The sequence below is a fragment of the Homo sapiens genome, chromosome 18 (assembly GCF_000001405.40).
Source record: "Homo sapiens chromosome 18, GRCh38.p14 Primary Assembly".
In the NCBI taxonomy this organism is placed as follows: domain Eukaryota; kingdom Metazoa; phylum Chordata; class Mammalia; order Primates; family Hominidae; genus Homo; species Homo sapiens.
The window spans coordinates 27259359-27286395 of NC_000018.10; the positions used below are offsets into that span (position 1 = coordinate 27259359).

Consider the following 27037-nt stretch of genomic DNA (forward strand, 5'->3'; position numbering starts at 1 on the left):
GGAGACCTAGGCCTGGAGGACTTGCCTGGTAAGGAGATATGGGAACAGGCACCACTTTTCTGTAGGGCTGCTGCAGTATACAGGGGATCCACTCTAGTCCCTAGTCACCATGAATTTTCCAGTACCTGGAGGTATCAACAGTGAAGGCTGCAAAACAGCAAAAATGGCAGCCTGCCCCTCCCTCTGCAAGCTCCATCCCAGGGTGGTTCTTATCTGTTGCCAGCCTGAACACACCTGCAGGAGGTGGCTGGAGATCCCAACTGAGAGATTCTGCCCGGTGAGGAGGAATGGAATTTGGAAACCTGCATTAAAAGGCCATTTGGTCATGTTTTTGTAGAGCGGTTGTGTTCTGGGGGTCCACTACAACACCTGATTGTCTTGGACTCGCCAAAGCCTGAAGGGCAGAATGGCTAAGTTGCCCAAACAACAAAGATGGTGGCCTGCCTCACAATTTCTTCTTTCTGTTGCAGGGAGGCTTGAAACCTCTGTTGGCTGGAAAACACTGGTGGTGCTAGCTAGAGTCCCCAGTTGGGAGGTCCCACCCAGTGAGAAGAAACAAGACTGGGGACCTGCTTAAAACAACAATCTGGCCACATTTTTGTAGGACAGCTGCTCTGTACTGGGGGTCCACTTCAGCCCCTGGTTGCCTCCAGCCCAAAGGCCGGAACAGCTAAGTTGCCCAAACAGCAAAGATGGCAGCCCACCCCTCCCCCTGGGAGCTCCACCTAAGGGAGGCACAAGCTGCTACCTGTGGCTAGCTGGAGTTCCATGCCAATTATCCTGTGAGACACTGTAAAAGCAGGGCCTGCAGACTGTTGCTGCTCAGCCCTCTGGATTCAGCCCCTTTCCTAGGGGCCTGTACAGGGGGGTCTAACCTCCTATTTTGCTGAAGTTGCAGCTGCTTTTGCTGGGAAGCCCAGAAAGCCAATGTATCTAAGGCTCCTGGGCCTTCACATGTGCCTGAGTGGCTGCTCAGCCAAGACTCCACATAGCTCTCTGTATGTCAGACTGAAGGTCCTGGTGGAGTGGGTTCTCAAGGGGATCTCTTGACCTGAGGGTTGCAAAGATCCATGGAAGAAGTGTGGATTCCTCAGGTTGCACATTCACTCACTGCTTCAGTGAGTGAGCAGAGCAGGGGAGGCTCCCCCCGGCTCTGTGTGACACCCAGGTGGGCTGTCATCCTGCCCTGCTTTTGTTTGTTCTCAGTCAGTCCAGTTGTTTTCTTGATTAGTCCCAATGCATGTACCTGGATGTTTCTGTTAAAGGTGTTTTATTTTCTGCTTTGGATTATATTTGCTCTTTTCTTTACAGTTTCTTAGGGTATAAGTTTGGGTTATTGTTTTGGGATTTTATTTCTTTTTAAAATATTGGGGTTTAATAGTATGTATTTCCCTCTAAGTGCTGCTTTATCTGCACCTCATGAGTTTTGGTATATATCCCATAAAATTTAGTGTTCATTTCCATTTATCTCAAAATATTTGGTGTGTGTCTTTGTGATTTTCACTTTGATCTGTTGATTATTTAGGAGTGTGTCATTTATTTTTACGTATTTGTTAATTTCTAAAATTTTATCTTATTACTGATTTCTAGTTTCATTTCAATGAGAGCCGAGAATATACTTTGCCTGACTTTATCCTTTTAAATTTATTGAGACTTGTTTTCTGGCCTAATATGGCTTATCCTGGAGAATGGTTCATGTGTATTTTAAAAGAATGTGTACTCTACTGTTGTTGAGTGATGTTTTCTTTACATGTCTGTTAAATCTAATTGATTTATAGTATTTTTAAACCTTCCATTTCTTTGTTGTTCTTCTGCCTTGTTGTTCTATCCATTATTGAAATTGGGGTATTGAAGTTTCCAGCTCTAATGTTGATTTGTCTGTTTTTCCCTTCAGTTCTCTCTGTTTTGCTTTATGTATTTTTGAACTCTCTTGTTTGGTGCATACATATTTTTAATTACGTCTTTTTGCTTGACATTTTTATCATTATAAAATGCCCTTCTTTGTCTCTAGTGACAATTTTTGTGTTAAAGTCTATTTTGTCTTATACTACTATAGCCATTTCAGTTTTTATTTGTTTATTTGTTTTGGTTACCACTTGCATCATGTTTTTTTCATCCTTTACTTTCAACCTATTTGTGTCTTTGAATCTAAAGTATATCCTTATAGGTGACATATAATTGGGTCATTCAGATAATCTGTTAGTTTCTGCCTTTTGATTAGAATGTCTGATTACCAGTGTTTAATGAATATCTTATAAGGTAGAATTTACATCTGCCATTTAGCTGTTTGTTTTCTGCATGTCTTATGTCATTTTGTTACTCTATTTCTCCATTACTTTCTTTTTTGTTGTTGTTAAATAGGTATTTTTGTTAGTCCTCTTTTGATTAAAATGTACCATATTCTTGTACTATATTTTCTGAGTTTTTTTCTTAGTTGTGGCCCTGAAATTCCCAATTAACATTAACATTTTAAAATAATGTATTTCAAATTAATATGAATTTAATTTCAATAGTATATGAAACTTGTCTACAATATTATTCTTTCCTATCTTGCCTTTGTTCTATTACTGTCATAAAACATACAAATTACATCTTTTAATATTTTAAGTCCATTCAGCAATTTTATAATTATTGCTTTATGATGTTATTGTTTAGATAAAACAGAAAGAAAAATTAGTTACAGAGATACAGTTATTCTTTCCTTAATATTTAGCCTTGCAATTATCTTTACTAGTGTTCTTTATTTTTTCATGTGGATTTCAGTTATGTTTAGTGCTCTTTCATTTCAATTTGAAGGACTCTTTAGTATTTCTTATAGAATAAGTCTGCTATCAACCAATTCATTCAGTTTTTATCTGGGAACACCTTTATATCTCTTACATTTTTGGAGGATAGTTTTGGTCAACAGTTTTGGTTGATTGTTTCTTTCTGCATCTTGAAAATGGCATCCCATTGCCTTCTGGCATCCACAGTTTCTGGTAAGAAGTCCAATGTTAATCTTATTTTGGATCTCTTCTCTATGATGAGTCATATTTGTCTTGGTTCTTTCAAGATCTCTCTCTCTTTGTCTTTTGACAGTTTGACCATGAAATTTTCAGTTATGGATCTCTCTGAGCTTATTTTACTTGAAGTTTGATTAATGCTTTCCTTCAATTTGGGGAAGTTCTCAGTCACAGTTTCTTCAAATATTTTCTGCTCCATCTTTTATCTTCTCTCATTTTATGTCTTCAATTTATTTGGACACTGATTTGCTTAATGATATCTCACATGTGTCTAAGACTCTGTTCTTTTTTCCTTATTCTTTACTTGCTATTCCTCAGACTGGATAATCTCAATTGACCTTTCTTCAAGTTCACTGATTCTTCTGTCAGCTCAGATCTGCTGTTGAGCCCTTCTAGTCAATTATTTATTTCAGTTATTTTACTTTTTTATTTCCTGTAACACAACCCATTGTAAGTGCTGGAATCCATAATGAGTCCTTTTGTTTGCCTCTGGAAAACTGATGCAAATCAATCTGACGTCCTGGCTCCTGTTTTTAACATGAATAATACAGACCTTTGTCTCTGATCCAGGAGTCTTTTGTCTTCTTCCAGCACTGTAAATCTTGAAACAGCATATTACTTGTTATTTAAAAGTAGGGTAACAAGACTAGACTCTGTACAGTTTTTTAATTTTGGCAATGAGTATGGTGTGCTAACAGAGGCATGGATTTCTGGAATAGAAAGGATGAGGTTTTCTATAGGCTGGGCTAGGGGTTATGTGAAAACTCACTCCCCAGGATCTGGTAGTGAATGCTCTTGCCCCAGTGGTAGGGTGGAGGCAGTAAGCATCTTCCCAATGTTCTACCTATTAATGGATGTTTAGAGGCTTTATGGTGAGAGGTAAGATTAAAACCAGCCTCCTGAATGCTGCTTAGGTTCATTCTCTACTAAATGGTAGAAGGAAGGGATGTTATGATGGCAATGGGGGCAGCAAGCCTCAGGTAGGTCCTTAGCCAAAAGGTATCATGGCTGCTAGAGGATCCCTCATGGCATCAGCAACAAGGATATAGAGCTTTGGTTACCTTTAAACATCTGGAGGTTTTTGTTGTTGTTGTTGTTGTTAAAACTGAGAAGTCAGCTGCTCAAAACTGAAAGTAGATGCAAAGCCTTGCTTATTGGCACTGAGTGCTTCTTTCTCCAGCAGCCCCTGATGCCTTTTTTTGCCCTCTACCACATCCTCAGCTGCTTTACTAAAAGCCAATGTGCTAGAAAACTTCAGACAGGGACGTTACTCACACTTTTATGGTGGTATAGGATGTGGAAGTCCAAATCATCCCCTGGCTGGCTCTGTGTGGATAGGGGATTCTGGGTACAAGGGTGGCAGAATGCTGCTGAACATTTCAGGTAGAAGCTGCAGTGAAATGTGAGGGTGCAAGAAGAAAGAGCGCCTGTTTTTGGCAGGCCTCAGATGCTGGAGGTGCACAGGGGAGGATGTAGCACTGACCTTCGGGCAAGAAGCCAGGGGAGAAAAAAATGCTTCCTTGTATACTCCAGCCATCCCTGCAGGCCAGTCTCCACCATCCTTCTGCACTCCCCAGGCTCCTTGCTAGGAAATGACATTATCTCCTGGTAGCTGTCCCTAAAGTATAGTTGTTAAACTCCTTGGTGTGTGTTCCCATGGTGTGGAGGGAAAGTGTCCAAATTTAAATAGCGCTTGAGCAAAATGTACAGTTAAAAAAAAAACAACATTAAAGTGACCTTATGAATGAAGCCCTCTGGGTCAACTCAACGTACTTTGTTATGAAAATATATAACATGTGCTGTAAGTGTTCATAAAGTATCAGAAAATATTATGTGCTTTAGGCCTTTAAAAAAACACTAGAGCAACAAAGTACCCTGCTATTTGCAAACTGGTGGGGTAGTCAGCATTCAGCAGGAGTGCCTCACTCCTCTGATGTCCAGATTTTTCCCTATATAGGTGATGTCCTGATGATTGGCAAATCCGAAGCTTCAGTCTCAATTGGCCTGGCTGTAATGCTATCATACCTCATCCGGCAGAGGTGGTTAATAAACCCCAGCACAATTTTGGAACTGCGTTCCAAGAACAGTTTCTTAGGACTGTGTGAGTGGGTTTATTAATACAATGTTCAATTCTTCTAACAATGGATCAAAAACTGCTGTCTTTTTTGGTCCCACTATCACCAAAAAAAAGTCCTAACCCTTTATTGGATTCTTTAAATATTGTAGACAATATATGCCTCTCTAAACAGTCTTACTTGTCAAATGAAAACAACGTGTTCACGGAATCAGCTAACCTGGACTCAGCTTCACCTCATTTTTTTTAATGATGGGTGGAAGCTACTTCTTTAGGGAAAACTTATCTCCCCCTCTGCTGCCTGAAGCAAAGTTCCGATTCAGTGGGGCCCCCAATTCAGAGAAGCTCCCCTCAATTCCTGGGCCTGGTTGACTGATGATTCAACAAAGTCAAAACTTAATGTTGTCCACTGGGATTGCTGTGGCTGTTTAGCCTCAGCCCCAGCTACAAATAACTGAAAATGTGCATGGTGACTCCACTCAGTAGGCAAAACTAAAGGTTGTTTTCATAGCTCAGGCCAATACATCCGTTGATATTTTTACTGAGTCGTGTGCTGGTCTAGTCATTTGGATTGTCACTTGAAAGACCACAGATGGGCAGAGTAAAGATACTCCTCCTTAGGGCCACAAACTGGAAACAAATTGTGGCTGCTGTTATGGTGGTCTGGGTCACTCACATGGACCATGTGACCTCACATTACTTAACCTAAATGTCTACAGGAAGGCTCTATTCACTGACTGAAGCCAAGCTGCTGCTCACACCTGCAATGCTGAAATTGCTGCCTCTCCATCGGGATCTGTCATCACATCAAAATATGGCAATATATCACCATCAGGCTTTGAGGTTCTGTGTCTGATACAGAAGCAATCACTGCATACTAGATCTGTGATTCCTGCCAATAAATACTTGTTTGTCTCAAGATGAAGGAGGACACATTGCAGGAATTGGTGATCCTGTCTTCTCTTGGCAGATTGACTACCTGGGATCTTCCTTACTTCCTTAAGGTTATCAATGATGCCTCAGTACTTTTGACACTTTTTCAGGTTATGGTACTGTGGTCCAGTCCATAACACTTGGGCCATTAAAACTAATCTGTGCCATGTTTTTTGCTTTTTGAACCTTCTACGATCTGACAGTGATGTCCTTTTTGTCACAAACGTTATCAGTGATGGGACAATGACCAAAGTATTGGATGGACATTCCATGCCCCCTACTATTTATAAATTTTGGGTATTGTTGAGCTTGGGAAGACTTCTGACTTTACTTCCCTCACCTCCTCCTGATCCACACACCTCAGTAAGAGTGTGAATAAGGTTGTGCCCAGAAAGGGATTTTATCATTTCAACAACTTTCCAGGTAATGATCAGGAAAAAAATTATACATATGAATATAAGATAATTGGAGAAAAGATAAAGTTGTAATTACTCCGGGATTGGATGCATTAATTTTATGGTAGTAGAAGGAGAGAAAAAAAACCCGGCAACCAGGGAGGGAACTTAGATCCCAGAGGTATACGGGAAAAGAAATGATTAAACCCACTCTATCTTCTAGATCCAGCACTGCTTCCTGAGTCAAGCCACAGCTTCATCTGACAATCTAAACTGAGGCTGAGTTTGTCATCTCTGTTGACATGCTATAAAAATGAAATAAAACTCAGGCGAACATGACAGGCCTTGACCTATTCTGCTGTGCCTGATGCCATCAACAGTAGCTTCCAAACACAACATTTACAAACACAACCTGTTTCAATCTGACTGATTATGTGATTCTCCTGATGCTGAGTGGCCTTAAGTTGTGCCACGTGTGATTATCAAGGCTACAGTTACTCAGTGAAGATACACATGGGGCTTAACCAAACCAATGTAATGGTGATCCAAATCAGCTTTAACAACAAATCCTCAAGAGAGTGACTGAATAATGACTTCAGGTCATATGTTTGTGTGTGCATAGATTGGGCTGTGAAATTGGGGATGAAGATTGCTTTTTGGCCTTTTGTCCCCTGTAATTATTGGAAGACTCATAGCATCCCTTTCATCACACTATTTTGATTAAGACAGTTACACAGGTCCCTCCAGATTTGAGGATCAATGTCACTGTAAGTATATGGGTCATGGGGGTCTATAATCAAAAACTAAAAAAAAAATACATGTTGGCATGGATGTGGTGAACAAGGAACACTTCTACACTGCTGGTGGGAATGTAAACTAGTACAACCACTATGGAGATTCCTTAAAGAACTAAAAGTGGAACTACCATTTGATCCAGCAATCCCACTACTGGGTATCTACCCAGAGGAAAAGAAGTCATTATACAAAAAAGATACTTGCACATGCATGTTTATAGCAACGCAATTCACAATTCACAATTGTGTTGTGCAAAAATGTGGAACCAACCAAATGCCTATCAGTCAATGAGTGGATTAAGAAACTGTGGCATACTACTCAGTCATACTACTCAGTCATAAAAAGGAATGAATTAATGGCATTTGCAGTGACCTAGATGAGATTGGAGACTATTCTTCTAAGTGAATTAACTCAGGAATTGAACCAAACATATGTTTTCACTCATAAGTGGGAGCTAAGCTATGAGGATGCAAAGGCACAAGAATGACACAATGGACTTTAGGGTCTTGGGGAAGGAGTGGGAGGAGGGTGAAGGATAAAAGACTACAAATTGGGTGCAGTGTATACTGCTTGGGTGATGGGTGCACCAAAATCTCACAAATCACCACTAAAGGACTTACTCATGCAGCCAAACACCACTTGTTCCCCAACAACATATGGAAATAAAAAATTAAAAAGAAAAGAAGTACATGGGGTCAGGTCATGCCTGTAATCTCAGCAGTTCGGGAGACTAAGGTGGGCAGATTGCTTGAGCCCAGGAGTTCAGGGCTTGCCTAGACAACATGTTGAAACCCATCTCTACAAAAAATACAAAAATTAACTGGGTGTGGTGGCATGTGTTTGTAGTCCCAGCTACTTGGGAGGCTGAGGTGGGAGGATTAATTGAGCCTTTGAGGTTGAGGCTGCAGTGAGCCATGATTGTGCCACTGCACTCCAGCCTGGGCAACAGAGTGAGACCCTGTCTAAAAAAAATGAAGTACATGAGGAATAAAATATATATTGATGCAGCCATCTTTAGAAGATATAATCTGCCACATTTCATTATGACAGTATTTTTCACATCTATTGAAATTGCCTTCAATGATTCCTCCACATCCAACTATAATGAATCTGCTTATTTCAAATCTAATTGTATTCAAATATTGTTGTGCTATTTATTCATGTCTCTTAAATTGCTTTATTATTGTAATCATCCTTGGCATTGTGTGAACAAAATATTTTCCTCATTAAAATTACACCCCTTGGAAAGTACACTCTATATGAGGAGGATTTTGTTTTGTTCTTTGCTATAAACTCAGAGTCTAGAACAGTGCCTGACATATACTAGATAATAAATGCTTGTTGAGTGAATAAAAGCAAAAGGTTATGCCAGCTTTCCTCAAGCAGTCAGCAGGTAAAGTCCATAATCTGAGAGCCCAAATTTGGGGTGAGTAGAAAGGTCGAAGAATAGGTCAAAGAAACCAAGAAGAGTCAAGTAAGAAATTATCGAAGTTCAAGTGGTGTATCCATTGTTATCGAGTTTTGGAACATTTAAACTCAGCAGAAAAGGGTCTGTCTCACCAGGGACTATTTTATTAGCCTCTTCATGTATGCAGCAGTTTTATTTACTTGGTCTTGGAATTTGTAAAGGACTATTTGGGATCTAACTATGGTACATTGGACAGTGAGATTCTTATTCATTCACTAGCACTTTCATCTATATGATCATTTGTAATTATTCTACAAAACCCACAGACAGAAATTAATAGTCTCATTATAAATTATTTACTTGTCCCAGGTCACTGGATTTTAAGTGGCCCTAATTTGATTCAAACTTATTTATTGCTTTTTCCTCTTTAGCTCAATCGTCTTGACCAATTTTCCAGTTATCTATTCTGATTTAGTGCAGTTGGAAAAGACAAAGACAAAATGTATTTTCATCCTGTGCTAAGTTACTGGTGGGACAGGCAACTGTCCATGCAAGAGTGACTTTAGTTGCATTAGGATGTTTAACTACAAATACTTCTCCCATCAAGTTACTGATTATAATAATAGTTGTAATTGTTACAGTTTTAGTAGTAGCTAGCATTTATTTAAATGTATTTAGTTGTGGTAGTGCTAAGCTGTTTCCTAAATGTTTCATTTGAACTTATAGTTTGTCAACATAAAACAGTGTATTTCATATCTTTCATTCAATAATTGTAGTTAACATTTAAAGTGTAACTGCAAAAGTAATAAATTCATTCAGTGTAATATTAAATCTTTCTTGCTTATGTGCTTTGTAGAAACCCTTGAGATCTCAGGTCAAATTTCTTCACAAACTTCATCGCACTTGTGAAGTCTTCATTTTTTAAACTAACAGCTTTTATTGTCTATTTCATTTATTCGATATTTACTGTCTATTGTTGATGTGGGTATTCATTGCAGAGTACTTTCTATTAAATGCAACACTTTTTATTTTTTTTTAACTAGAGATGGAGTCTTGCTCTGTGGCCCAGGCTGGAGTGCAGTGGCGTGATCTCAGTTCACTGCAACCTCCACCTCCTGGGTTCAAGCAATTCTCCTGCCTCAGCCTCCCGACTAGCTGGGACTACAGGTACACGCCGACATACCCGGCTAATTTTTTTGTATTTTAGTAGAGACAGGGTTTCACCCTGTTGCCCAGGCTGGTCTCGAGCTCATGAGCTCAGGCAATCCACTCACCTCGGTCTCCCAAAGTGCTAGGATTACAGGTGAGAGCCACCGCGCCCAGCCAATACATTTTTTTTTTTTTTTGCAACAAATACAAACAAAAACACTTATATATTTATTTGTTTGAAAATAAGTCTTGTGTCTTCTTGTTTCCACCTTGGAGGCAACTTATAGAAAATAAAAATAAAATAAACATGAAATTAGAAACAGAAAAACCTAAAATGAAAAGTAGTGAACAGTTCAGAAACTAAAATGCAAAGGAAATAAATTTTTTTTACTCTGCTTATCCTGGTAGCCCAAGGAAAGGGAAATTTAGGCAGTCATCTAATTTACATTGAAGAAAGCACATTGGTCTTTCAGGGGGATTAAATGATTTCCTGGGCCTAATTTTTATAATAAATTTCTATCACAGAAGCATTTTGTGGGGACCCTGAACAAATTAATAAGCAATAGCCTCAACATCGACATCAGCACATCCAGTAGAGGTTTTTAAATATTAGGTAGGTGCCAAAAGTAATCATGGTTTTGCCACTGGCACTAACCTAAATAGTCATTCTTACGTGTTCCTTATATACTCCTTAATTAAGGCAGACTTTATAACACTAAAGCACAAGTCAGTGAAACTGATAAAAGGCTTCTCTAAAAGAATGATGTAAAAATAAAGAAGGTTTCTACATTTCCCAGAGACCCAATATGACTGATTCAATGTTCAGTAAATGCATCAAATTGTTTATGTTTTTGAAGAAATTAGATTCTGCTTACAAAGTGCTTATAAAGGTGATTCGCTGATAAAAATTCATGTCTTTTGTAGGGCTGGGGCTTTGTTTTCTGGACATCTATTCCTTTCTTTGGAGACTTGGGGAGTTTGGTAAAATCAACAAATGGAGTATTTATTTTTTAAAAAGATAGCAGAATTAATTTCCATTTTCAGTTCCAAAATTGAGCTTGTTCTTACTCCTGTCAAAATACAACTTATTTTGGGGATGACATCTTGATGAATCAACCCCCTTGACAAACAAAAACATACAGTTTTGCCTAAATAATGCAATAATTGTTGGGGTAAACTTGCTTATTGAAAAAGAGCAACAAGGTAGAAAAGCACACACATCCTGAGTATTCATTAGAACTATCACAAAGTGAATATACCTGGGTAACAATGTCCTCATCAAGCAATAGAACATTCTTAACACCTGACTCCCCATGTCCATTCAAATCGCCATTTCCTTCCACAGCAAAGGTGGCTACCATCATAACTTTGAATATCAAATATCATAGCCTAGTTTTGCTTATTCTTGAACTTTTTATAAAAGATACAGTTTGTATGCTTTTGTAGCTGGCTTATTCTGCTCAATGTTATAAAGAGGACTTCAAACAGTTCATGGAAAATGGAATTAAAAGATAAAAATAAATATATCAACTTTATTTTTCAACAGAAGCTCCATCTAGTTCAAGATACTTTTGTAAGTGATGATATCAGCAATTTAGTCCATTGTTAAAGAGCTGAATGTCTTGGGAATTTAAACATGTCAATGCAGTCTTTTTTTACGTGACTAACCGAAGAAAAGTGAGTGCATTTTAAAGATTTTTTTAAGATTAGAAAACAAAAAGAAGTCAGAAGGAGCCAAATCAAGACTGTATGGTAGCCTAGTGATTTTCCATCCAAACTTTCAAAAAATTATCCTTGTCTGATGAGATAAATAAGCAAGTGTTGTTGTGGGAGAGAAGGACTCTCTGGTGAAGTCTCTTGGGCATTTTTCTGCTAACGAATTGACTAGCTTTCTCCAAACACTCTCATAGTAAGCAGATCTTACCATTTTTTGGCCTTCCAGAAAGTCAACAAAAAAAATGCCTTGATCATCCCAAAAAACGATTGCTATGACATTTGCTCTTGACTGGTCCACTTTTGCTTTGACTGGGCCACTCCCGCCTCTTGGTAGCCATTGCTTTGATTGTGCCTTGTCTTCAGGATTGTACTGGTAAAGCCATGTTTCTTCTCCTGGTACAATTCTTTGAAGAAAGTCTTCAGGATCTTGATCTTACTTGTTTAAAATTTCCATTGAAAGCTCTGCTTTTATCTGCAGATGATGTGGGATCAACAGTTTTGGCATTCATCAAGTGGAAAGCTTGCTCAGCTTTAATTTTTCAGTCAGAATTGTGTAAGCTAAACCAGTTGAAATGTTTATAGTTTGGGCTATTAGTTCTGCTATTAATTGTCAGTCCTTTTCAATTTGGATATGAACAAGATTAATTTATCCTTGCAAATTGATGTGTATGGACTACTGCTTGTACTTTACCTTCAACCTCATCTTGTCCCTTCTTAAAATGAGTTATCCATTTATATGGTGGATTGCTTTGGGCCATTGTCCCCCTCAACTTTTCATAAAGCATGAATAATCTTACCATTCCTCTACTCAAGCTTCACCAAAAATTTGAAGTTTGTTCTTGCTTCAATTTTAGTAGAATTTATGTTGCTCTGATAGGAGTTATTTTAAACTGACAGTATCCTTCTTAGTGTCTCAAAGTAGACTCTGTTCAGATCTGTTATAACAAGTTAGTGTGAGTTCATTTTGGTGCAACAAGTTTTTGAAATCCATGCATAGTTTTTTCATAATATGCATTTCCTATGAACGTTTTGAAGACTCCTTGTATGTGGTATGCAGCAGTAATTCATTCATTTCCATTTCTGAATGGTATTTCATTGTATAAATACACTGCACTTTATTTTACCCAATTCAAGTACTGTTCAGTATGTTGGATTTTCTAGTATTGGGATATTATAAGTAACATAACTTTGAACATTCTTGTACAAATCTTTTACTTCCCATATAGGAGTGAGGCTGATGGATCATTGGAGATATATATGTACAATTTTAATAGATACTGCCAGTTTCCCAAAATGATTGGACTAATTTATACTCCTATTAGCAGTGTGGGAATTTCAGTTGTTCATCAATCATACTTAACACTTGTTTCTCTCAGTCTTTTAATTCGAGTCATTCTGGTTGGTAGGTATGGTATCCCATTGTGGCTTTAATTTGCATTTTCTTGATAGGGCTAATAAAGTTGATTATTTTGTTGTATGCTTATTCACCATTTGTATATTCTCTCTATGAAGTCTTTTGCCAATCTTTTTTTTTTTTTTTTTTGGGATGGAGTCTCACTCTATCACCCAGGCTGGAGTGCAGCAGCACGATCTCGGCTCACTGCAAGCTCCGCCTCCTGGGTTCATGCCATTCTCCTGCCTCAGCCTCCCAGGTAGCTGGGACTACAGGTGCCCGCCACCATGCCTGGCTAATTTTTTTGTATTTTTAGTAGAGACGGGGTTTCACCATGTTAGCCAGGATGGTCTCCATCTCCTGACCTTGTGATCCACCTGCCTCAGTCTCCCAAAGTGCTGGGATTACAGGCGTGAGCCGCCACACCCGGCATCTTTTGCCAATCTTTCTATTAGTGTCTATTAGTTCTTAATGTTAAAAATTCATATTACATTATATTAATATGTTGCAGGCATAAGCCCTATGGTTTCGGTCTCCTAATTTTTTATGTATAAAAGATTTTAATTTTAATTAAGTCTAACACATTGATCTTGTCTTTTAAGTTAGTGCTTCTTGTGTTTTCTATCCAAGGTTCTGAAAATATTTTCCTTTGCTTTCCTTTAGAAGCCTTTAAGTTTTACCTTTAACATTTGGATCCACATAGAATCTTTTCATTACTAGTGCAATGAAATAGTAGATAATAATAATAATAATAATAGTGCTGCCATTTTTTTGTATGTGAGGCAGTTGACATTCTGGAATTTTAATTCTTAAAATAAGACTGCAATATAGGTATTATTATCTACATTTTAAAATAAGAAAATTGAAGCTCAGAGTAGTTAAGTATCTGTTGCTCCTTGTCTTCTTCCATAGATCACATATTTATCATTTCACCTTATTTCCTTAAAGGATTCCTGTTTGTGAGCTATGTTCAAGTAAGAGCCTTAAAATCTGTTTAGAACTCCTAAATTTAAAAACTCCAATTCCATAAGAAAGAAATCAAGTGAGTAAAATAAAAATAAAAAGAAACATTTGGTGGAACATTGAAAGCAGTGCATCAATAAATATAACAATATAACAAGATGAAAATAATGCGCTGAAAACTCAGAAAAGATGAAAATGAATAAAAAGGATTAGCAACAATAGAGGCTGACAAATGGAATCATTAATGTACTGCTTCAATCTGCAAAGCATTGTTGAAAAGCAAGCAAGAAAGAGAAAGAGCAGTGAAAATTGTTGAAAATCAGGGACATAAATAATTCTGACTGTTATCACTTCATAGGTTAGATTTCTAAGTTCACACACACAAGGGGCTTCTTATTTCCTTGCTATTACTTTGTTTTCATTCAGGTAAGCTCTTACCCAGAGAGGGGAGATGGTTCTTCTTCTGGTATATCAGCTGTTGTCAACATGACAAAATGGAAAGGTTGTGTTTTATCCCACTGGTACAATCAGACTGTTGCTTTCTGTTAAATGATTTTTAAAGCAGACTTCTATTTAAATGGTACACATCAATGAAATAGATATCTCCAAATAAAAATATAAATATATAAAAACAGCATAATTTCATAACTCTCTTATTAATTTTTAGCATGTGATTGCTCTGTTTCAAAGAGAAAAAAAGTAAAAGATATCATTCCTCCTAGGTTATCTGAAGAGAAACTCATGCTGATCTTTTTGAATCAGAAGAAAGATTCCATGGGGCCAAACTACTTATTCTTTTACCTATTTATTATTTTCTTATGATAAGTTTAATATCCCCTCAAATCTGGGTATCTTTATGTTGTTATTGTTGCAAAGATAGTGTTTTTCATTAAATTTTCTTTAGTAGCACTGCAATGTTAAAAACTGTCACAGTTAGAGACTATATTCCTTAGTGCAGTGTAACCTTTAAAACAATGTTTAAAAGAACTTACTGCAGTTTGAAAGCAGAGTTAAAGTTGTCTCACCTCAGCTTTTGGGGCATTTATCTGATTTGATGACAATGGTTTTATAGAGAGGATATTGAAATAGTTAAAGTACTTACAGTGTTATAAATTTGACATAAAATGTTATAAATATACATTAAAACTTTATAACCACCAAAAGTAATTAAGCAATATAAAAATGCACTATAAGATTTTAATCTAAGGAAATATGAGAATTGAATGTGATGTGTGAAAAAAATGTGCTTGTGGAGTGGGTAAATTTTTATGGGGGTATTTGGTATGAGATGTCAACTTTCAAGTGAATTTGCTTCTTCTCCTCTCAGACTCCAACACTAAGCATTCACCTGGAGATAACCTACAGAGATACTCTGTGTTACCCACAACTAGTCTGTTGACTAAGTTGGTGAATATATTTGGGAAAAGCCCATGTGGAAGAATGGAAGCCTGCATTATCTTTCTCAGAGACAGACAGGAAGGTGACTCTATGGAAGACATCAGCGATAAACTAGGAAGGAGTGACACGGTAAGTGAAAATAGAGATATGCAGTGTGAGAGAGAAATTCTGCTTATTTTTTCTTAATAAAAGAAAAATGAGAATATAAAGAGGAGAGAAACAAATGAACATTTAAAATGTTTGCATGATCTGGTTGCATCCAGGTCCTTACATGAAAAGTAGGTAATCTGTTCACCAACCTAAAGAGGTGGTCATCTACTATTTCTGTTATAAGTGTAGGAAATGGCATGTATATAATATAGTCAATTTCCCTAGTAAAACTTGAAATAGTTATTCATTTAATGATTCATTCATTTAGTAAACATTTATTGAGTGCTATTTATGAGATAGGCATATTCAAAATCTGAACAACTGAATATATACATTCCTGACCGCAAGGAATTCACAGCTGGTAAAGGGTGTATCCAAGTCAGCAAATCACCTCAAGACAATTGTTGTCAGTGTAGTAATGGTTTCAGTAGAGAGGAAGAATGCCAAATTTTGCCAAGATAGAGGCAGGCAGCTTCAAGGAGAAGATGCCTGAGCTAATTTTAAAACTTAAGTCGTACATTAACAAATGGACACACACGAGATAATAATTCCAGAGAGAGATAATACAAAAAGTATCTAAATATTAAAAGTATGGGCTATTTGGTAAAATTCAGGTAATTCCATAATGCTGAAATGTAGATTTCAAGATTCAGGTAGTTCCATGATGCTGAAAAATAGACGTATGAGCCCGAAAAGTGCAACAAGAGCAGTCTAGAGAAGTAAGCACGGGCCAGAGTCTTCATGGTCCTCAACATACAAGCTCATTCTCAGGCTATGGGCCTGAGAACATTCGAAGAACGTTCAGGTCCACTATTGGCATATTCTGGGGTCTTCAGTATCCTGTTGAGGTTATTCTGGAGATGGCAACACCAGGAGGAGAAATGGTAATAACAATAAAAGCTGGCAGTCTGGATGTAGAATCCATGGAATTAAACACAACACTATTATATTATGAAGGGGCTATTAATTGATGCAAAATAATATGAACTTAAGAAAAAAATATTTGAAAATAAAATAGGAAAAATAAGAAAGATATTGAGTAATATTTAGGGCATACAATCAGGGGGACATTGTAGCTAATAGGATATCAGGAGTGAGTATGATGCTTGAATCTAGGATAACTCTTGGATCCCTGGATTGAATCATTTATTCATTGCATATGCAGCTGCTGAAATATGCTGATCACCATGTTAAGTCATTGGACTACAATGTTTGGTGAAAATATACATGATTTTTATCATCAATTTTATAACTCGGAGATTTTTATTAATTAAATAATCACCCTATTTAATGTAAATGGCAACTGAAGAAACATTCATTTTACTTTCTACCTTTTTAAAATTAGAGCATAAGGAATTTGAGTTAGACTTGTAGTTAAGAAAGGCTTTACTGAGGAAGTGATGCTGGAGCTGAGATCTAAGGAATGAATGAGTAGAAGTTACTTGGGGTGGGGCTCTTTGTAAGTGATGGTGTGTCATGCAGCAAGGGAGACTTGAAGAAGGGAAGCACATTCAGGACAGATACTAAGGGATATTGAGGTACCAGAGACATCCACATGCATATGTGCATTGGATAACTGCAAACATTGATTGGCCATTAGGAGAATCCATCTGGACAAAATTTGGGCACTTTACTGTTCAGTGGTTTGGTGATATGTGTGTAGGTGAGATCACACAGGAAGTACGTGAAAAGTGAGAAAGGATGTGAGCTCAGGGCTGGACCAGTGTAACATTTAAGGGCTATGTAGAGAGGAAGTGGCCTAATGATTGCAAAAAAAAAAAAGTGGGGGAGGTGGTTAAGAGAGAAGAGGAAAACCAGGCTGGAAGTACAGCAGAGGAACAGAACATCTCAAACGGGTGTCGCAAGTGCCACAGAAAAAACAGGTCCAGTAATGACTGAAAACAACAAATTTGGTAACTAGCCAATTTACCAGACTAACCTTTGTAGTGTTAACTACAGGTCAGTTAACTGTAACCTTTGTAGTTAGCAGGACAACTGTAGTGGAGTGGTGACAGCAGAAGGCAGATTGGGTTGGAAGGAAATAAAAGTTAAGAAAATAGAGACTGTGATGCATACTTGCCCAGCTGTTTCAAGTGGCTTGGCTGTAATGGGTAGGAGAAAGCATACCAAGACTAGAGAAAGTGCCAAGGAAAGATTTTGTTGCTTGCTTGTTTTATGTATTTGTTCACCGATGAAGAGTCTAGCACAAGTTTGTAAGCCCAAAGGAGAGGGGTCATGCAGAGAAGGAAGTTGATGCACGTGATGAGCCATAGGGGATCACTGACTACATGAGGGAGAGGATTGGCTCCAGGCACATAGGGAGGGAAGAACATTGGCCAGAGGCATCTCGTTATCTGATTCAGGAGGGGTGAGATTATATGGACAGACGCTGTTGCCGCAGGTGGTGAATGTATTAGCCAGCAGGTATTAAGTGCTCAGGTACCAGACCCTGGCTAAGCTCTGTGTCTGTGTTTTCAGTTTTAAGATTCCATGCTGGCATCAAGTCACTCGTATTAAAGTTCTGTTTGAGACTAACTTTTATGGTCTTTTAAGCATTCACATTCTTTCTCTTTCTTATGCAAGGTAATCATTTATTCACAGTTCTCCAATTCTATTCCTTTAAAGTTGACATTTTGGTAGACATTTTGGTAGAAGAATGTGAAGTTTTCAGTTTGTTGCTATCCCTATGGTAATTGGTATAATTCTTAGCCACTATTTTTGTGTGTTCTTAGAATAGCAGAGTTCATGTGCAGGAAAACTTGGACCGCTGCTGGCCCCATAAGGCAGTGATCCTGAGACTGGAAATATAAGTTGGAAGTATGTATTGTTAGTATGAATGTGCATCCTGTTACCTGAAGGGTCTTGTTAGGGTAGCCCTGAGCCTTGCACAGCAGGAGGGTGTATGTGACCGCATTTGGCAGTGGGGAATATTCAGAGCTTTTGGCTTACTCAGACCTGTTCAGGCTCTTCAGAGTATCTATGACAACCAACAGGTCTCCAAGAACCTGAGGGAGCTCAGCTGAGAACACCCATCTGTTCTGGCTCGGTTGCCTTTTCCTGAGCTAAGTAAACTCTTAAGCTGAGCTAAATCTGACACTGGGGTCTAAGTACACTGCAAGTGCATGGTGCTTCATTATTGGCATGCAGTCCACTGCATCCATGAATGTGGTCGGTGAGACTGGCCAACTTTTCTCCATCCCCACAGCACATATTCCAAATTTGCACCCGTTCCTTGAGGCTACTTCCCTGTTCCACAGCCAATGGCTTCTAGAAAGACCATTGAGACTTTTAGACACGACTCCCTCAACTTCCTACCTCTCTAGCCCTATTAAAAAATACTTGCAGCAAAAGGTCATGAATCAATAAGAGCACAAATTTTTGGAGCACATTTTTTTGGGCCGCAGGTGGTGAATGTATTAGCCAGCAGGTATTAAGTGCTCAGATACCAGACCCTATGCTAATGCCCAAAAGAATACTTGCAGAAAAAGGTTGGGAATCAATAAGAGCACAAATTTTGGAAGCAGACAGTTGTGGTTTCAAGTTCCAGCTCTGTCACTTATGAGCAATGTGGTCTTAGGCAAGTCATTTAACCTTCCTGAGCCGGTTTTCCTACCTCATGGGATTGTCGTGAGTGTCTTAAAACCAAAGTAAAAAATACTGTGTTGACATTATCTGATTATGTAAACATAAGCATTTAGTGTTTGTAGCAACCAGAAATGAAAGAAATGGTCAACATCAAGACATCTGATGAAGTAAACATTTACTTCAATAATACCCACACACAAAAAGAGGGAAAAATCTGCAAGATACATGCTAAAAAATGCAGTCTATAAAATTCAACTATTCCTATTTTAAAAAATCATAAAATCAAGAATAAAAGGATACGTGCTAAAATGGTAGAGAATAATCACTTTAATGCAGCATTCTAAAACAGAAAAATATAATAACATTAGCATATTTTTAACAGAAAAACATTAGCAGCATTTTTATTAATGGACTAAACAAGGGTATCAAAAGTCTCCTGTGTGACTTAACATTGTTCTAAAGTTCTGGTGTAGACATTAAGAAATGGGATGCAAAAAGGAAGCTTAATTCTTGGAAAAAGGGAAACAATTGTTTCCCAAAACTATTATTCGATTGATTAAAAATCCAAGAGAATATACAAAAAAACTCATGAAGTAAGAATGTAACATAGCTTTGAAACATCAAAAAAGTCTATTTACCAAAATCACCAGTTTGAATCATTTATTTATTCCACAAACAATGAAATAGCAACAAAATCACTGAACAACTGAATAATACATTGAATATAAAAACAAAACAAAAGCTATAGAAATAATACAGAATAGAAATAATAAATCTTTAAAAGAGAATGAAATAGATAAATCCCAAGTAAATCTAAAAAATAGGAAATGATGGTTAGAAGCATGTACAGTGGGGCTAAGAAATGTCAGCTCACATCTTGGCTCTACCAGTTAATAGCTGGATAACCTTGAACTGGATCCTTAACCTTAGTCTGCCAAAGACAGCCCTAGCTCAGCAAATTCCCACCTACACAGCAAATGCAGTTAGACTGTTTCAGCCTGTCCTCTATCTAAAACATTTGGGTTGTTTATGATGTTTTTGACAAATAAAGCTTTTAAATTTTTAATTAGTCAGATCTGTAAATCTTTTTTATGTGTTTGCCTCTTGGCATTATTTTCCATCTCTCTCCTTGGAATCTTCTCTTTTTTTAGGCTCTATTCCTAGGTTATTTTCTTTTGTCGGAAATGAGAAATCTTTATTTGTCCATTCACTTTTCTCAAGAGAAGATTTTCGGAGGAGCCAAGATGGCTGAATAGGAACAGCTCTGGTCTACAGCTCCCAGCGTGAGCGATGCAGAAAACAGGTGATTTCTGCATTTCCATCTGAGGTACCGGGTTCATCTCACTAGGGAGTGCCAGACAGTGGGCGCAGGTCAGTGGGTGCGCGCACCGTGTGTGAGCCGAAGCAGGGTGAGGCATTGCCTCACTCAGGAAGCGCAAGGGGTCAGGGAGTTCCCTTTCCTAGTCAAAGAAAGGGGTGACGGACGGCACCTGGAAAATCAGGCCACTCCCACCCGAATACTGCGCTTTTCCGACGGGCTTAAAAAACGGCGCACCATGAGATTATATCCCGCACCTGGCTCGGAGGGTCCTACCCCATGGAGTCTCGCTGATTCCTAGCACAGCAGTCTGAGATCAAACTGCAAGGCAGCAGCGAGGCTGGGGGAGGGGCGCCCGCCATTGCCCAGGCTTGCTTAGGTAAACAAAGCAGCCGGGAAGCTCCAACTGGGTGGAGCCCACCACAGCTCAAGGAGGCCTGCCTGCCTCTGTAGGCTCCACCTCTGGGGGCAGGGCACAGACAAACAAAAAGACAGCAGTAACCTCTGCAGACTTAAATGTCCCTGTCTGACAGCTTTGAAGAGAAGAGTGGTTCTCCCAGCAGGCAGCTGGAGATCTGAGAATGGGCAGACTGCCTCCTCAAGTGGGTCCCTGACCCCTGACCCCCGAGCAGCCTAACTGGGAGGCACCCCCCAGCAGGGGCACACTGACACCTCACACGGCAGGGTATTCCAACAGACCTGCAGCTGAGGGTCCTGTCTGTTAGAAGGAAAACTAACAAACAGAAAGGACATCCACACCAAAAACCCATCTGTACATCACCATCATCAAGACCAAAAGTAGATAAAACCACAAAGATGGGGAAAAAACAGAACAGAAAAACTGGAAACTCTAAAATGCAGAGCGCCTCTCCTCCTCCAAAGGAACGCAGTTCCTCACCAGCAACGGAACAAAGCTGGATGGAGAATGACTTTGACGAGCTGAGAGAAGAAGGCTTCAGATGATCAAATTACTCTGAGCTACGGGAGGACATTCAAACCAAAGGCAAAGAAGTTGAAAACTTTGAAAAAAATTTAGAAGAATGTATAACTAGAATAACCAATACAGAGAAGTGCTTAAAGGAGCTGATGGAGCTGAAAACCAAGGCTCGAGAACTATGTGAAGAATGCAGAAGCCTCAGGAGCCGATGTGATCAACTGGAAGAAAGGGTATCAGCAATGGAAGATGAAATGAATGAAATGAAGCGAGAAGGGAAAGTTAGAGCAAAAAGAATAAAAAGAAATGAGCAAAGCCTCCAAGAAATATGGGACTATGTGAAAAGACCAAATCTACATCTGATTGGTGTACCTGAAAGTGATGCGGAGAATGGAACCAAGTTGGAAAACACTCTACAGGATATTATCCAGGAGAACTTCCCCAATCTAGCAAGGCAGGCCAACGTTCAGATTCAGGAAATACAGAGAACGCCACAAAGATACTCCTCAAGAAGAGCAACTCCAAGACACATAATTGTCAGATTCACCAAAGTTGAAATGAAGGAAAAAATGTTAAGGGCAGCCAGAGAGAAAGGTCAGGTTACCCTCAAAGGGAAGCCCATCAGACTAACAGCGGATCTCTCGGTAGAAATTTTACAAGCCAGAAGAGAGTGGGGGCCAATATTCAACATTCTTAAAGAAAGAATTTTCAACCCAGAATTTCATATCCAGCCAAACTAAGCTTCATAAGTGAAGGAGAAATAAAATCCTTTACAGACAAGCAAATGCTGAGAGATTTTGTCACCACCAGGCCTGCCCTAAAAGAGCTCCTGAAGGAAGCACTAAACATGGAAAGGAACAACCGGTACCAGCCGCTGCAAAATCATGCCAAAATGTAAAGACCATCGAGACTAGGAAGAAACTGCATCAACTAACGAGCAAAATCACCAGCTAACATCATAATGATAGGATCAAATTCACACATAACAATATTAACTTTAAATGTAAATGGACTAAATGCTCCAATTAAAAGACACAGACTGGCAAGTTGGATAAAGAGTCAAGACCCATCAGTGTGCTGTATTCAGGAAACCCATCTCATGTGCAGAGACACACATAGGCTCAAAATAAAAGGATGGAGGAAGATCTACCAAGCAAATGGAAACCAAAAAAAGGCAGGGGTTGCAATCCTAGTCTCTGATAAAACAGACTTGAAACCAACAAAGATCAAAAGAGACAAAGAAGGCCATTACATAATGGTAAAGGGATCAATTCAACAAGAGGAGCTAACTATCCTAAATATATATGCACCCAATACAGGAGCACCCAGATTCATAAAGCAAGTCCTGAGTGACCTACAAAGAGACTTAGACTCCCACACATTAATAATGGGAGACTTTAACACCCCACTGTTAACATTAGACAGATCAACGAGACAGAAAGTCAACAAGGATACCCAGGAATTGAACTCAGCTCTGTACCAAGCGGACCTAATAGACATCTACAGAACTCTCCACCCCAAATCAACAGAATATACATTTTTTTCAGCACCACACCACACCTATTCCAAAATTGACCACATACTTGGAAGTAAAGCTCTCCTCAGCAAATGTAAAAGAACAGAAATTATAACAAACTATCTCTCAGACCACAGTGCAATCAAACTAGAACTCAGGATTAAGAATCTCACTCAAAGCCGCTCAACTACATGGAAACTGAACAACCTGCTCCTGAATGACTACTGGGTACATAACAAAATGAAGGCAGAAATAAAGATGTTCTTTGAAACCAACGAGAACAAAGACACAACATACCAGAATCTCTGGGACGCATTCAAAGCAGTGTGTAGAGGGAAATTTATAGCACTAAATGCCCACAAGAGAAAGCAGGAAAGATCCAAAATTGACACCCTAACATCACAATTAAAAGAACTAGAAAAGCAAGATCAAACACATTCAAAAGCTAGCAGAAGGCAAGATATAACTAAAATCAGAGCAGAACTGAAGGAAATAGAGACACAAAAAACCCTTCAAAAAATTAATGAATCCAGGAGCTGGTTTTTTGAAAGGATCAACAAAATTGATAGACCGCTAGCAAGACTAATAAAGAAAAAAAGAGAGAAGAATCAAATAGACACAATAAAAAATGATAAAGGGGATATCACCACTGATCCCACAGAAATACAAACTACCATCAGAGAATACTACAAACACCTCTACGCAAATAAACTAGAAAATCTAGAAGAAATGGATACATTCCTCGACATGTACACTCTCCCAAGACTAAACCAGGAAGAAGTTGAATCTCTGAATAGACCAATAACAGGAGCTGAAATTGTGGCAATAATCAATAGTTTACCAACCAAAAAGAGTCCAGGACCAGATGGATTCACAGCCGAATTCTACCACAGGTACAAGGAGGAACTGGTACCATTCCTTCTGAAACTATTCCAATCAATAGAAAAAGAGGGAACCCTCCCTAACTCATTTTATGAGGCCAGCATCATTCTGATACCAAAGCCGGGCAGAGACACAACCAAAAAAGAGAATTTTAGACCAATATCCTTGATGAACATTGATGCAAAAATCCTCAATAAAATACTGGCAAACCGAATCCAGCAGCACATCAGAAAGCTTATCCACCATGATCAAGTGGGCTTCATCCCTGGGATGCAAGGCTGGTTCAATATACACAAATCAATAAATGTAATCCAGCATATAAACAGAGCCAAAGACAAAAACCACATGATTATCTCAATAGATGCAGAAAAAGCCTTTGACAAAATTCAACAACCCTTCATGCTAAAAACTCTCAATAAATTAGGTATTGATGGGACGTATTTCAAAATAATAAGAGCTGTCTATGACAGACCCACAGCCAATATCATACTGAATGGGCAAATACTGGAAGCATTCCCTTTGAAAACTGGCACAAGACAGGGATGCCCTCTCTCACCGCTCCTATTCAACATAGTGTTGGAAGTTCTGGCCAGGGCAATTAGGCAGGAGAAGGAAATAAAGGATATTCAATTAGGAAAAGAGGAAGTCAAATTGTCCCTGTTTGCAGATGACATGATTGTTTATCTAGAAAACCCCATTGTCTCAGCCCAAAATCTCCTTAAGCTGATAAGCAACTTCAGCAAAGTCTCAGAATACAAAATCAATGTACAAAAATCACAAGCATTCTTATACACCAACAACAGACAAACAGAGAGCCAAATCATGAGTGAACTCCCATTCACAATTGCTTCAAAGACAATAAAATACCTAGGAATCCAACTTACAAGGGATGTGAAGGACCTCTTCAAGGAGAACTACAAACCACTGCTCAAGGAAATAAAAGAGGGTACAAACAAATGGAAGAACATTCCATGCTCATGGCTAGAAAGAATCAATATCGTGAAAATGGCCATACTGCCCAAGGTAATTTACAGATTCAATGCCATCCCCATCAAGCTACCAATGCCTTTCTTCACAGAATTGGAAAAAACTACTTTAAAGTTCATATGGAACCAAAAACGAGCCCGCATCACCAAGTCAATCCTAAGCCAAAAGAACAAAGCTGGAGGCATCACACTACCTGACTTCAAACTATACTACAAGACTACAGTAACCAAAACAGCATGGTACTGGTACCAAAACAGAGATATAGATCAACGGAACAGAACAGAGCCCTCAGAAATAACGCCACATATCTACAACTATCTGATCTTTGACGAACCTGAGAAAAACAAGCAATGGGGAAAGGATTCCCTATTTAATAAATGGTGCTGGGAAAACTGGCTAGCCATATGTAGAAAGCTGAAACTGGATCCCTTCCTTACACCTTATACAAAAATCAATTCAAGGTGGATTAAAGACTTAAATGTTAGACCTAAAACCATAAAAACCCTAGAAGAAAACCTAGGCATTACCATTCAGGACATAGGCATTGGCAAGGACTTCATGTCCAAAACACCAAAAGCAATGGCAACAAAAGCCAAAATTGACAAATGGGATCTAATTAAACTAAAGAGCTTCTGCACAGCAAAAGAAACTACCATCAGAGTGAACAGGCAACCTACAAAATGGGAGAAAATTTTCGCAACCTACTCATCTGACAAAGGGCTAATATCCAGAATCTACAATGAACTCAAACAAATTTACAAGAAAAAAACAAACAACCCCATCAAAAAGTGGGCGAAGGACATGAACAGACACTTCTCAAAAGAAGACATTTATGCAGCCAAAAAACACATGAAAAAATGCTCATCATCACTGGCCATCAGAGAAATGCAAATCAAAACCACAATGAGATATCATCTCACACCAGTTAGAATGGCAATCATTAAAAAGTCAGGAAACAACAGGTGCTGGAGAGGATGTGGAGAAACAGGAACACTTTTACACTGTTGGTGGGACTGTAAAGTAGTTCAACCATTGTGGAAGTCAGTGTGGCGATTCCTCAGGGATGTAGAACTAGAAATACCATTTGACCCAGCCATCCCACTACTGGGTATATACCCAAAGGATTATAAATCATGCTGCTATAAAGACACATGCACATTTATGTTTATTGTGGCATTATTCACAATAGCAAAGACTTGGAACCAACCCGAATGTCCAACAATGATAGACTGGATTAAGAAAATGTGGCACATATACACCATGGAATACTATGCAGCCATAAAAAATGATGAGTTCATGTCCTTTGTAGGGACATGGATGAAATTGGAAATCATCATTCTCAGTAAACTATCGCAAGAACAAAAAACCAAACACCGCATATTCTCACTCATAGGTGGGAATTGAACAATGAGATCACATGGACACAGGAAGGGGAACATCACACTCTGGGGACTGTTGTGGGGTGGGGGGAGGGGGGAGGGATAGCATTGGGAGATATACCTAACGCTAGATGACAAGTTAGTGGGTGCAGTGCACCAGCATGGCACATGTATAGATATGTAACTAACCTGCACAATGTGCACATGTACCCTAAAACTTAAAGTATAATAATAAAAGAAAAAAAAACTTAAAAAAAAAAAAAGATTTTCACTACCTTCTCCACTAGCAGAGATACATGTTTGCATTTTGTTAAATTACAAGACATACTTTTTTAAAATTGTGAAACCCTACAGAGAGAAGGTTTAGGCTGAATTAAAAACTAAAATTCAAATAACTCCTATTTTTAAAAGAAGTATTTTTTAATCTCTAAGTTACCTTCTCTTTCTTCTCTCTGTCTCTCTTACACACACACACACACACACACACACACACACACACACACACACACTCTCTCTCTCTCTCTTACCCATAGGTTTATTTTCCTGAGCTTATTTTCTCATCTACTTCTTAAACTAATATAGACTATGAATTTCATAAGATAGCTCAAATTGTTTTCAGAACAAGACAAGATAAAGATTAATAATAATATCAGAACATTCTGTCTGGAAAGACACAAGAAGCTGCCTTAGCTGTATTCTCAAGGAAATAACCTTGAAAAGTTTCATTACCATGTAACTGTTTATCAAGAGATACAGAAGAGCTTATTGAAAAGGCACTTCATCCAAACCTCAGTGAGGATGACAGTGCTGATGCTTCCTGGGCTGCTATTTCCCATGACCTTGTCCTACCCCAGCCCACCCCAACCCTGCTGTTAACTTTCAATCTTCAGAAGACTGGGACGGAAAATGTCAATGCAGTATTTTTAATTTTGGTTTGCATAAAAATCACTTGGAAAGAAATGCTAAAATGCAGATTCTATGGCAACATTCTTAGAAATTCTGATTCAGTTTGTCTGGGGGAGGCTGAGAATTTGAATATTTAGAAGTAACCCTCTGCCCT

General features: G+C 38.6%; 1 long non-coding RNA gene across 1 annotated transcript in view; it reads left to right on the top strand.

The window, feature by feature from the left end:
• LINC01908 (long intergenic non-protein coding RNA 1908) overlaps positions 1-15383 on the top strand; it is a 50682-nt gene extending 35299 nt beyond the window's left edge. The window contains exon 7 of the long non-coding RNA XR_002958212.2: positions 15156-15383. This is a non-coding gene — a long non-coding RNA (long intergenic non-protein coding RNA 1908). The remainder of the gene's footprint in view (positions 1-15155) is intronic.
• The last annotated feature ends 11654 nt before the right edge of the window (positions 15384-27037 follow it).